This window comes from Homo sapiens, chromosome 2 (genome assembly GCF_000001405.40).
Source record: "Homo sapiens chromosome 2, GRCh38.p14 Primary Assembly".
Classification (NCBI taxonomy): Eukaryota; Metazoa; Chordata; class Mammalia; order Primates; family Hominidae; genus Homo; species Homo sapiens.
This window is the reverse complement of record NC_000002.12, coordinates 174917841-174931487: the sequence shown is the minus strand read 5'-3', so window position 1 is coordinate 174931487 and position 13647 is coordinate 174917841. Positions and strand designations below refer to the sequence as shown.

At 37.4% G+C, this 13647-nt stretch overlaps 1 protein-coding gene across 5 annotated transcripts in view, besides 3 other annotated features; it reads left to right on the top strand.

The window, feature by feature from the left end:
- The window catches only part of CHN1 (chimerin 1), a 206573-nt gene that overhangs the window by 73894 nt on the left and 119032 nt on the right, over nucleotides 1-13647 (top strand). For all 5 annotated transcript variants that reach the window (NR_038133.2, NM_001822.7, NM_001025201.4 and 2 more), the window contains one exon: nucleotides 12923-12954. Coding sequence is in view for 4 of the 5 variants with exons in the window: in NM_001822.7 (NP_001813.1) it covers nucleotides 12923-12954 (32 nt within the window). In the remaining variant the exon portion in view is untranslated. The remainder of the gene's footprint in view (nucleotides 1-12922; nucleotides 12955-13647) is intronic.
- Nucleotides 5523-6136: an enhancer, noted in NCBI's record as "OCT4-NANOG-H3K27ac hESC enhancer chr2:175790080-175790693 (GRCh37/hg19 assembly coordinates)". NCBI's record gives its function as "activates a minimal SCP1, AML or CMV promoter by ChIP-STARR-seq in naive and primed H9 embryonic stem cells {active_cell/tissue: H9 hESC(naive and primed)}" and the evidence as "EXISTENCE:reporter gene assay evidence [ECO:0000049][PMID:30033119]".
- Nucleotides 6137-6751: an enhancer, noted in NCBI's record as "NANOG-H3K27ac hESC enhancer chr2:175789465-175790079 (GRCh37/hg19 assembly coordinates)". NCBI's record gives its function as "activates a minimal SCP1, AML or CMV promoter by ChIP-STARR-seq in naive H9 embryonic stem cells {active_cell/tissue: H9 hESC(naive)}" and the evidence as "EXISTENCE:reporter gene assay evidence [ECO:0000049][PMID:30033119]".
- Nucleotides 6827-7573: an enhancer, noted in NCBI's record as "OCT4-NANOG hESC enhancer chr2:175788643-175789389 (GRCh37/hg19 assembly coordinates)". NCBI's record gives its function as "activates a minimal SCP1, AML or CMV promoter by ChIP-STARR-seq in naive H9 embryonic stem cells {active_cell/tissue: H9 hESC(naive)}" and the evidence as "EXISTENCE:reporter gene assay evidence [ECO:0000049][PMID:30033119]".

Below are 13647 nucleotides of genomic sequence, written 5' to 3'. Positions count from 1 at the left end.
GGGAGGTACAATGTTCTTGTTTTATTCTTAGTCCTTTTTAGAGGACATATTCTATTAGGTGGGAGCATTGAGTTTGGCACAGGAGTGGGAGGAAAACACTCTAATTGAAATTAGAGTTTGGCCACTGCTTGCACTATGTGCTCACACAGCCTATAGTGCAACTTTTGGTTCCAAAAAAATAAAGATTCACATGCTCATATATCTTGGTGTTGTGATAATCTGTTATTTAACACTTATAATATGCTTTGCAGATAGAAGCATTTTATATGAATGCTGAGTGATAGCTGCGAATTATTGAAACCAACCATTTATTTAAAAATCATCCTATCACTCAAAGGCTATTTTTTTTTTTTTGCCATATATTTCTTTTGAAGTGGTCTTTTAGTGCTATCTTTTGCTCCTGTTTAAAATTCAGCTATAGGCCTGGCGCAGTGGCTCATGCCTATAATCCCAGCACTTTGGGAGGCCGAGGCGGGCAGATCACGAGGTCAGGAGTACGAGACCATCCTGGCTAACGTAGTGAAACCCTGTCTCTACTGAAAATACAGAAAAAATTAGCCTGGCGTAGGTGGTGCATGCCTGTAGTCCCAGCTACTTGGGAGGCTGAGGCAGGAGAATGGCATAAAACCCAAGAGGCAGAGCTTGCGGTGAGCTGAGATCGCGCCACTGCACTCCAGCCTGGGAGGCAGAGCGAGACTCCGTCTCAAAAAAAAAAAAAATCAGCTATAGTAAATTCCTATAATTGTTTGTTACCTAGGCATCCGTCTTGAATATTAAGTTGGACTTTTTCATACCAGAAACAGGGCTTAGTCACCCTTGACACAGTTTCTAATTCCTACCTCCTGCCAGTTTCTTAATGTTGCCAATCCAGATATTTGCCTTATGCAGACTCCTTTGTTGACCTCCCTTTGGGCCAGCTAGGTACAACCTACTTGACTTGCCCCCCAACCCCCATACCCTGCATGGGCTGCCCAGATATGTCTCATTGACCACCTCTGAGTGACAGCATGACTCCACGGAGCTCATGCCTGCTTTTTGTAAGCCCACCGGTAACACCCTGAGCCGTAATAAAGTGCTTTGATCTCTTCCTTTCTCTCTTGTGATCCCACCTGCTGGTTGCATGTGCAAGTGGCCTCACTTTTCTGGCATTTTGAGGTGTGCTGTCCTCTTCTCTGCAATAATCACCAAGTAATACACTGCTTCTGTTATGTCATGCACTTTGCTTTTTTGTTTCCTTCTCTGTGTCTCACCTGACATATCCATACCTGACTCTCCTCCTGGTCAGGGCTCTCCTAGAAAGTGGCTATCTTGGGAGAAATAAATTGGACACAGGTCAGACAAGAGCCACAAGTATATCTGCTGGTATAAAAAAGTTTCCTGTGACACCTCGTCATGGGTCAGACACTTAGGCATTAGGCCATCGACTGGATAAAAAAGTATCCTGTTAAAGATAAACTATACGCATCCATGACCACTTCCCCTGGAACCCTGTTAGGGCAGGGCTTGAATTTATAGCCACTCTCCAGAGAGAGACTCCAACACTAAGAGGAAAACACACCATCAGAGTTCACAAACAAGTAGTAAGATATGCACTGGAGTAAAAATCTGTAATATCCTAATGTAGATGCACATTTGTAAAACTGAAGATCACGATGACAATTCCAAAAGGAACTTCTTTACCAGTTAATTATTAAATAAACAGATTGGTAGTTTCCACACCTTAACCACTACTGGTTACTTGAATCTAAGGTAGGAAAATAGTGAATACAAAGAAGTTTGAATTATGAAACTTATGTATTATCCTTTTCCAATGCAGTCTGATTTTTTGAAAACTGAAAACCAAAAAACTAATCTTAAGAAGCTGAGTTTTTCGCAAAGGGTTTTCTCAAATATTTTTCCTTTTTTTTTTTGAAATAGAGTCTCACTCTGTCACCCAGGCTGGAGTGCAGTGGCATGATCTCAGCTCACTGCAACCTCCAACTCCCGAGTTCAAGTGATTCTTATGCCTCAGCCTCCCGAGTAGCTGAGACTACAGGCACTTGCCACCATGCATGGCTAATTTTTGTATTTTTAGTAGAGGCAGGGTTTCACCATGTTGGCTAGGCTGGTCTTGAACTTCTGACTTCAGGTGATCCGCCCACCTTGGCCTCCCAAAGGGCTGGGACTACAGGCATCAGCCACCATGTCTGGCCTTCGCAAGTTATTAAGTAGTATTTATAGGGTATTAAAAAACAACTTTGTAAATATTCTTTATTGAATTAGTAAAATTTGATCGTAGATAGTGAGCTAACTTATTTGGCATGCTGAAGGTTAATGGTTTTCTTTGGGAAAATGTAAAACAATGGAAAACAAGCTGCATTTCTAGTACTGGTAACTAGAATGCTGTAGCACTGGGTAGGAAGGCAGGTATCTGAAAGTTTATCTTACTACAAATGGAGTAATAGAAGTAAAACAATCTGTGTAAGTTTCATAACATATCTGATTCTCATTTTCCTGATTTTTTTCCCTGTAAGTCACTTCCAACTCTATGTAGGTCTTTTATAAGTATTCCTCCACTTTGCTGGTACTCAGTTTTTTTCTTGAAGATTTTGTAAGTTTAAACTTTATTGATTTGTTGAAGCTTAGCTATTACCATATTGATATTTTCTATGGCTTAAAGTGCAGTGAGAAAAATAATTTAGAAAACATAGTGAAAATATGTGTTTCAATGGAAAACTGCCTTGTCTACATGCAGCACATTTTCTCAGGTTATCTGATTCTAGCCTTTCCTTGGCTTTGGCCTATTTTAAACTCTGTAACTTGTAGATAACTGGTAGTAATGCATTTATAGACATGTATATTTTGCCTTGTCCAGCGAAGGTTCAGTCATATACCTCTCCCATGCATACCATTGTGGAAAAACTCATTTTGCCCTTATTTGCACATACATTTCAAAATTTCTAATCTATAAATGTGTCTGTTCTTCAGATTATCTTTTGAAGTGGTTATATCATCTGCCTGATCCCCTCATTGATTAATGCTTACAATTAAACTTTTAACGTGTTTATTTTTATATCTGTATGAGTCATGATTTTCATTTGTGAATTATCTTTAAACAACGGTTAGATCCCTTACTTTGATTTTTTCACTTAAATGTAACTGTATCTTAATATGATGAATAATTTATAAGAAACTTGTAAAGTTTGTTATTCAATTCTAATTTTGACTTAAAATATGATAGCAGTGTATATATAGAATTACTATGATTATTTTCCTAAGCCACGAGGCAGTGGCAGTGGCTTCTGTTTCTCTTCCTCCCTGCCCTTCCTCCTTCCTTACTTTATAGTATAAGAAATTAGAATAGATCCAAAGCTAGAGTTGAATGCTGACCGACTTACTAGCCTTTAATTCGGAATATACCTCTGTAGATAGCAAATATCAAATGCATATTGTTCTCCTTTTCCCCTTCTACTTCTCCAGACAACTGAGCCATTTTGAAGTACAATGCAGAACCAAATCTTCAGTTGAGAATACTTATTTTTTAACGTATAATCTTTATATACATATTCTCTAGACTGTTACCTGAAAAAAAAGTACTATTTTGCCAGTGTAGTCATATTATTTTCATGTATGTAATGTGCTAGCTTTTAAGAAGCATCATATAGACTTCCAGACTAGGTTTAAAATGCTAAATTGCCTGCCTATGTGTATCATTTTTCACAGGGTGAACAAAGGAGATAATGATTCCTTTGACTTCTGACCCAATGACTACCACTGTAGGCAAGAACAACGTTAAACATTTTTGAAATTTTATAAATGTTTTAGTGGCATTACCTGCAGAATTTTATTGTTGTGGTTTTTTTTGGACTACTGTCTTGAACTGTAGCCATGGAAAAGTTTCCTTACTAAAAGAAATAATCAGGAATAAAAAAAAGAAATAACATTGTTGGGGAGAAGAGAAGGGAATTAACATTTATAATACTTTTCTTGCTTATTTCTAGTGTTTTCAAATTTCCTGTGGAGAGCAAAATACTTCTACATTAAAAAAGCTTTTATTGTCTTTGTTGAAAATAAGATACAAGAAGTAGACTTTAATTTGAAAAAATATAATGTAGTGAATTAGATTAAAATGTTTATGTATGAGGAAAATAGGCCCAGCATGGTGGCTCATGCCTGTAATCATAACGCTTTGGGAGGCCAAGGCAAGAGGATTGCCTGAGCCCAGGAGTTCAAGACCAGTCTAGGCAATGTGGCAAAATCCTGTGTAAACCAAAAGTATCTGAGACAGGTCTTAATTAATTTAGAAAGTTTATTTTGACAGAGTTAAGGATGCGTGCTCGGGAGGCAGGAGTCTGTGCCTTTCTCTAAAGATGATTGTGAGGGCATCATTATTTAAAGGGTAAAGGGCAGATATTGGGGAAGGAGGAAGGAATTTGAAAAAGGTGTGGGTAGGCCGGGCGCAGTGGCTCACGCCTGTAATCTCAGGACTTTGGAAGGCTGAGGCGGGCAGATCACGAGGTCAGGAGATCGAGACTATCCTGGCTAACACGGTGAAACCCCGTCTCTACTAAAAATACAAAAAAATTAGCTGGGCGTGGTGGCGGGCGCCTTTAGTCCCAGCTACTCGGGAGGCTGAGGCAGGAGAATGGCGTGAACCTGGGAGGCGGAGCTTGCAGTGAGCCGAGATCATGCCACTGCACTCCACCCTGGGCAACAGAGCAAGACTCCGTCTAAAAAAAAAAAAAATGGTGTGGGTAGATAAGAGACAAATGGTTGCATTCTTGAGTCTTTGATCAGACTTTCACCAAATACACAATTTACCTTGTGAGGGGAGATAGGGAAATAGTCACTTAGGCCTTTGTCTAGCTCAGTGAATCTGCATTTTTCCATCAGAGGAAGCAGTCAGATATGCATTTGTCTCAGGTTGGCACAGGGTTGACTTGGAGTTCTGTCCTTTGTCCAGTACTTGTGAAAGTGAGCTATCAATTTACAATGCCAGGGTGAAAGTCAACAGAATAAAATGGGAGGCAGGTTTGCTTGATGCAGTTCTCAGCTTGACTTTTCCCTTTGGCTTAGTGATTTGGGGGTCCTGATAATTTATTTTTCTTTCACACCCATCTCTACAAAATTTAAAAAATCATCAGCTTGATGTGGTGGCATGTGCCTGTAGTCCCAGCTACTCAGGGGCCTGAGGTAGGAGGATTGCTTGAGCCCCAGAATTTAAGGTTGCAATGAGCTGTGATCACCACTGCACTCCAGCCTGGGTGACAGAGCAAGACCTTGTCTCAAAAGAAAAAAAAAAAAAATGAAAGTAGTTCATTGTTTATAAAACTGCACAGTAAATGTTAATTTAATGAATTTCATTGATATTTTAAACATTGCAAAATGATTGATCTGCTGTTCAGTTATTTATTGAATTCCTATATTGTACTATGTATTTTATGCCACATTCAATAATGGTAGATTAACTTAAAGTTTTTTTCTCCAGTGAAATAGCATATAACATTTATGCAAACCATGCTATTGTTAACAGAAAAACCAAACACTGTAAAATATTTAAAAATTCATTCTGAGCCAATATGAGTAACAAGGCCCAGAGAACATTCTCAAGAGCTTGTGAGAAAATGTGCCTGAGGCAGTTGGGTTAGTTCAGTTTTATACATTTTAAGGAGACAGAAATTATGGGTAAAATCATAAATCCATACATGGAAGAACATTGGTTCAGCCTAAAGAGGTGTTATATCTTGAAGTGTTACAGTCATAGGTGGATTCAGATATTTTTTGATTGGCAATTGGTTGAAAGACTTAAACTTTGCTTAAAGACTTGAAGTCGGTAGAAAGAAATGCTTGAGTTAAGGTAGAGGGAGTTGTGGAGACCAAGGTTCTTGTTCTTGTTATGTAGATGAAGCCTCTGGGTAGCAGCCTTTGGAGAGAAAAGATGGTAAATGTCTCTTTTAGACCTTAAAGGTGTCACATTCTTGTTTAATCACTCCTAGGTCCAGGAAAGACCTAGAAAGGGAAGGCCTGGCTATATGAATGGAAATTCTCCACAGTTGCAAATTCCCCCACAAGGGATGGCTTTGCGGGGCCTTTTCAAAATATGTCAAAGAAATATATTTTGGGATAAAATATTTGTATCTCCTTTAGAATCTGCTATCTGTCATATGATACTATACCAGAGTTGGATTGGAATTTGGTATCTTATTGCCACAGTCTGTGTTGTCAGCCTTATAATCTCTATTTCAATGTTAATGCTGGTCAGTTGTGCCTAAACACCAAAAGGCGGGGGTATGAGGAGGCTTGTCCAACCTCTCTTCCCATCATGGCTAGGAATTCAGTTTTTCAGGTTTCTTTGGGGCCCTGTTGGCCAAGAGGGAGTCCATTTAGTTGGTGGGAGACCTTAGGATTTTTGTTTGTTTGTTTATGTGGTAAAACATTTTATAGGCACCTTTTATTTTCAGTTAGAAATCATTTTTCTTCTCTTCACTTCTCATTTTTCCTACCCATTTTATGGTATCAATGAAAAAATGTTAACTACTAAATACAGAAAATTGGAGAAAGCAAAGCATGTAATTCAATACAAGTACTCATTTTAAAACATATCTTAGTCACATTGAGTTCAACCAGTTTTAATCTGTAAACAGTTTCCTATTATTATTAATTTATAAAACTTAGAAAGAAGCATATAAATGTTTGTGTAAGCATAAAGATGTTTTTCCTATAGCATGTAACACTTGAAGTTCCTCATTTGATGTATTTGCAAGTAAACTAATTTGGGGTTATTAATAATCATTTTTATATTACAAATTCCTTAATTATCCAAGTACTGTTATATTGTCTCTGAGTTTGAAAAGATGATTCCAAATCACCACTGAAGTAATCATACCTTAGATCTCAGCAAAACATCTAAATGCTATTGTAGAGGAAGAAAAACTTCTCTACCCTATTAGATTCAGTAGCTGGGATTTTTGGACTATACTGACAAAAGGCAGATTAACAGGAGAAAGGGTTTATTTCACATGCACATGGAGAGGGGGATCTCACAGAAAAGAAGTGAAAACACCAAGGAGGCAGTTAGACTTGGGGGTTATATACCATTTTAACAAAGGGTGATAGAGATAAGAGACTACACAAAGAAAAAGGGATTTGGGCTTGGCAGGGTGGTAAGTTGTGGGAAGGAAATATGTGATAAATAAGAATTTTTAGTAAGATTTGTTATGCAGACTCAGGTCATCTCAGGAGATAAGAATTGTCTCTGCAGTTGGTTTCCTCTTCCTAGTATGGTAGAAGAGTACATCTTTACATATGGAAATTTTCTTTACAAATGTAAATTTCTTTTACAAAAGGGAATTTATGCTATGTTTTTAGACAGAAAGGAGGAGTACAGAAAGTGTCTATGTTTGATGTTTCTAAATTGCCTTCAGTTTAAAATAATTCTTATGCCAATGTAGCATGTTTTAGGGTAGTATATTGTGATCCCCTTTACTATCTAGACATGAGAGAAAAAAAATCTCAAGTTTTGATTGACATTTCAATTATAAAAATACAGGAAAGATGAAATTGGTGTGTGAATTTTATTTTCGATATAGTGCTCATTATATATAAAAATACTCTTAATTATCAGTGCTTACCTAATTTCCTTTAATTCAAAATTATTTTGGGTAAAGCAAATAATTATTTAGTAATGTAAGACCATAATCAATTGTTTTCTGAAGATGATTACTTAGGCAGTTAATGGAAGCAGATTATGGACTTACTGTAAGACTATTGAATAAATAATCAGTATTTGTCTTGGATTGGGAAATGTAATGGATTGCCACACCATTTGCAGCCACCAATCTCACTACTGTCACACTTCTTTATACTTGTCCAGGATTTTCCTTGATAAGTAGAGTATTTTAAAAAACTCTCCTTTAACCTCAGTGCCATATACCTTCAACTACCTGCAAAGATCTCATGATTTGAAGGAAAGGTCGTGATCTCTTCTCAAAATGTTGGGGGACCCCATTCTAATGTGTCTCAAGCTTTGATATTAGGTTACACAAAAGCTAATCTTAATTTATATTGTTGGCTGGGTGCAGTGGCTCACGCCTGTAATCCCAGCACTTTGGGAGGCCGAGGTGGGTGGATCACAAGGCCAGGAGATGGAGACCATCCTGGCTAACACGGTGAAACCCCGTCTCTACTAAAAATACAAAAAATTAGCCAGGCATGGTGGCGGGCGCCTGTAGTCCCAGCTACTCAGGAGGCTGAGGCAGGAGAATGGCGTGAACCCAGGAGGCGGAGCTTGCAGTGAGCCGAGATCAAGCCACTGCACTCTAGCTTGGGTGACAGAGCGAGACTCCGTCTCAAAAAGAAAAAAAAAAAAAATTATATTGTTAAAGGCGATATTAGGTATATAATTAATGTACGAATACATTTTTCTTTAAGAGTTATGATATTATGGTCAAGATTGAAGTTCCTTTTATGCCTTTTCCTTGGCCCCCTCAGGTCTGTTCTCCACCCACTTTCCTTGAGGTAACAATTTGAATTTGGTATGCATACTTCCAGATCTCTATTTATGCCATAAATACATATTACGTGTGTATGTGCTTTTTCCTAAACGGTGTCATTCTGTATTGTTATTTCATAATTTATATTTGTATTCAATCGTTTGTCTTAATGATTTTGCCATGTTAGTCTCAATAGATCTACATTATTCCTTCAAACTGTGTATATTATTTACATTATAAATCAGGTTAGTTATTGCCCTATTGGTGTATATTTAAAATATTTCTTTTTTTTTATGTATGTATGAGTGAATGAATGAATAAATGAATGACAGGGTCTTACTCTGTCACTCAGGCTGAGAGTGCAGTGATGTGATCATGGCTCACTGCAGCCTCAACCTCCTGGGCTCAGGCAGTCCTCTCATCTCAGCCTCCTGAGTAGCTAGGACTACAGGCATGTGCCACCACCAAAAAAATATTTAAAAATATTTTGTAGAGATAGGGGTCTTGCTGTGTTGCCAGGCTAGACTTGAGCTTATGGCCTCAAGCAGTTCTCCTACCTTGGTCTCTCAAAGTGCTGGGATTACAGGTATGAGCCACCATGCCTGACTAACCCATTTTAAAAATGACTATGAACAGTGCATATGAGAACATTCTTATTCATGTTTTCATGTGTACATGTGCATGTATATCTTCATTTAGAGTAAATACTGAGCATTTCACATTTTTAGTTGGAAAGGACACTACTAAATGGTTCTTTTGAGTAACATTTTATCATATAATGCTATAGAAAATTAATTATCTAAGACTTAAACATTGAAATTTCATCTTCGTAAGCAAAGGTTTATTCTCAAGCAGTTGCCTGACCCCACTCTAAGCTCTGTACTAAAACTAGAATAGCCATCATCTGTAGCTGTAGGAGCCAGCTGACATATTCTTAGTACACTGAGTTTTATAAGCAGAGAAATTATTATGGAACAAGGCCAAATCAGGTGGAACTTACCTCGGGAAGATAATAAATAACCTGACTACAACCTCACAGATAACAGAAGATTCATGAGGGATAAAGTATTATTTAAGTATATGATATGGTTTGGCTGTGTCCTCACCCAAATCTTATCTTGAATTGTGGTTCCCATAATTCCCATTTGTTGGGCGAGGGACCCAGTGGGAGGTAATTGAATCATGGGAGCAGTTACCTTCATGGAGTTCTCGTGATAGTGAGTGAGTTCTCACGAGATCTGATGGTTTTATAAGGGGCTTTTCCCTCTTTTGCTTGGCACTTCTCCTTGCTACTGCCATGTGAAGAAGGACCTGTTTGCTTCCCCTTCTGCCATAATTGTAAGTTTCCTGAAACCTCCCCAGCCATGCGGAACTGTGAGTTAATTAAACCTCTTTCCTTTATAAATTACCCAGTTTCATCACGTATGCCTTTATTAACAGTGTGAGGATGGACTAATACCATATAATTTTAATGAAAAGTTAAAATCATGACTCTCCTATAGACATGAAAATGAACACATATTAAAAATTTATTTTACTCATAAAATATGAGAGAACTAGGCAGATGTTATAATCGGTTGAAAGGAAAACTCCAAAAACTCTTACATGGAGTCAAGGAATATTGAGATGAATTGCACATGGAGACAAAACTAGTTTTTCCACTCGGAGAGAGGGTAGGGAAAAAGTCAGTTCAACCGCCAATATGCAGGAAAAAATGTATCTATTAGTTACCTACAACTTAGGCAGTACCAAAATAGCTCAGACAAAAGGCACTGGCCTAGAATCTGATAAGCCAGTAGGGTATGCTATAGATTAGGTGTCCCCAATCCCCAGGCCATGGACCAGTACCACTCTGTGGCCTGTTAGGAACCAGGCTGCACAGCAGGAGGTGAATGGTAGGTGAGCCAGCGAAGCTTCAACTACAGCCGCTCCCCATTGCCCACATTATTGCCTGAGCTCTGCCTCCTCTCAGATCAGCGGCCATATTAGACTCATGGGAACGCGAACCCTATTGTGAACTGCACATGCGAGGGACCTAGGTTGCATGCCCCTTATGAGAATCCAATGCTTGATGATCTGTCACTGTCTCCCATCACCCCCAGATGGGGCCGTCTAGTTGCAGGAAAACAAGCTCAGGGCTCCTACTGATTCTACATTATGGTGAGTATATAATAATAATAGAAATAAAGTACACAGTAAGTGCAATGTGCTTGAATCATCCTGAAACCATACCCCCGCTCCTGCCCTGGTCCATGGAAAAATTGTCTTCCACAAAACCAGTCCCTGGTGCCAAAAATGTTGGGGATCACCGCTATAGATGATGCATAATTTTTTATTGAAGCACAAAAGTTTTTCTATGCTGTGAGTAACTATATCAAGTTTGCTGAAAACAGTATCAGACTTGATATTGGCACTCAAGCTGTATGCAGAACTAAGGGAGAAGATCACTGAAAAGATAGGCTTTGAGTTGCTTTGGGAACTGCCATATTTAACCAAATTCAAATGAGTCAGTGTCAAATAGACAGAGGGCTTTTTCCCTTTTTGCCATTTTTGAGTAAGAATCCTAATTGTGCCTTGAGCCCCACCACTTGAACAAGTAACCTTGAATAAGTTACGTAATCTCTCCGACGCTCAGTTTCTCCACTACCATGATTCTGCAATCTCACTAGTTGGTGTATACCCAAAGGAAATGAAATTAATATGTTGATGAAATATCTGCACTCCCATGTTCCTTGCAGCATTATTCATAGTATTCAAGATATGGAACCAACCTAAGTGTTCATCAGTGAATGAATGGATAAAAAAAATGTGGTGTATATATACATAATGGAATACTGTATATTCCATTTCAGTATACAATGGAATACTGTTTATTTCAAATTGAATACCAAAGGAAGTCCTGTCATTTGCAACAACACGGATGAACTTAGAGGACCTTATGTTAAGTGAAACAAAGCAGGCCCAGAAAGACAAATACTGCATGATCTCACTTGTGGAATCTAAACATGTTGAATTCGTAGTAGCAAGAAGTAGAATAGTGGTTATCGGGGCAGAGGGAAGGAGAAGGAAAGAACGTGGTTGGGGTGGGAATTCAGGAGATATTGGTTAAAGGATACAAAATTTCATTAGGTTGGAGGAATATGTTCAAAAGAGCTGTTGTACAACTTAGTGACTATAGTTAATAACAATGTATTATATACTTGAAAATTGCTGAGGGTAAATTTTATGTGTTCTAACCACAAAAAAAAAAAAGTATGTGAAGTAATGTGTGTGTTAATTAGCTTATTTTAGCCATTCCACAATATATACAAATATCAAAACATCATGCCATATACCATAATACATTCACACACCCCTTTTATTTGTTAGTTATAAGTACATTTGAAAGAAAAGGTGAATTTTGCCCAGAAAAATAAAGTGAGGATGATAATACTGTTTCATAAAGACAAAGTAGAATAATTCCTATTTTATTTTGAGGATTCAGTGATCTTTAAATGTAACTAAAACACATAGTAAATAGCAAGAGCTCAATAACATAGTACATGGTGTCATCAAAGTACCTACTAGGGAAAAGCTTTTTTGCTGTTCCTATGAACAGTCGGAGTTGGCATCTTGTCATTCAGGACTCACTTTAAATGTCATCTCAGAGAGAGCTTTGCTAACCACCCAGCTTAATAAGTACCTCAGCTTAATAAGTACCTCACTAGTCTTCCCTTTTGTTACCCACTCCTATTTTCATTATAGTACTTACTCTTACTTTCTATTTTCTTTTTAAAGCTTCTTTATTGTCTGTCTGTCACTATTAGAATGTAAGTTCCAAAAGAATTTTGGTCTTATACAGTAATGTGTCCCTGCAGGTAGAACAATGCCTGTCACATATTTGCTGTTCAGTGAGTGTATTTTGAATGCTGTCTATCTTCCTGTGAAAATTCCTGGGCATTTATCTTGCTGGGACTTTTCTTAGCTATAGCCAACACACATGCCCTGATAAGCTGTGGTGAGGGAAGAGATGATGGGACAACAGAAGGGTAAGAGTATATGGAAATGCTAACTGAATGGAGAGTCTGGAGCAAGAAGGAGAGGAATAGCAGGGGAGGATGGGGGAGAAAGCTGCAATTGAGTGTGTCACAATTGTGGCTATATGTTTTGGGGTGTTGTATTTTACTCTTGAATAAAGTGAAATTTTTTTCAGCTCGTTAAATTCTAGAAACTAAAGATAGTTTAGTCCAACTACATACATAGCATTTTATAAATAAGAAATAGGTCTGGAGAGATGAAGTGACCAGTCCAAATGGCACAGGTAACCTGCTGGTAGAACTGGGACTCCATACTCTGTTATTTGAATTCTTTTTTTAATATATGCTTTACTTTGTCACATGCACAAAATGTTGAGTTATGTTCTGCACATTTGCATTTTTACAAATATGCCTGTTTTTTTGCTTTCCCAATAGGTGGAAAACAGACCAAAGTATTATGGAAGAGAGTAAGTATGGATTATTAGAAAACGTTTTATAGATTGGCATATGTAAGACAGACAGGGTAAATGGATGCTTTTAAATGAAAGCAAGATGAAGTATTCAAGTTTGGTGGAGTTGCATTTATTTCTTAAAAATTTCAAATGTGATCTAATTGGTGAACAATATAGACAATAAAGACAAGTATAAATAAGAAAATAGCATGGGAAAATGTACATGCAATAATGTTAAGGATGCAAACCGTACAAGTAAGTAATCTTAGATGTATATGAGGAAAATGTACATATTTGTGTTTTTGTGTACATATATATTAGGTATATAGATACGTATATACACACACATGTATGTACAGTGGGATGTGGGTGATTTATTCTATATATTTTTATTTTTCAGATTTTCTTAAATAGTATGTATTATCTTTATTATGAGAAAAATATAATAATTCATGCTACTCAGAAACAACTAATGTTAACAATTTGAAGTATTAATATCTGAAGAAATGTTTTCCTAATGGATTTGAACCAAATTGAGATATTATACATATCATTTTATAGCCTGATTGTTCCATTTAAAATTGACAATGAGCATTTTTCTGTTTTGTGAAAAATGCAATGATTTTTAAAGTCCTTAATTTTTCAGGTTATTGAAAAACAGAAATGTAGCACTTTGGGGAAAAGAATAAAAATCACTCATAATCTCAT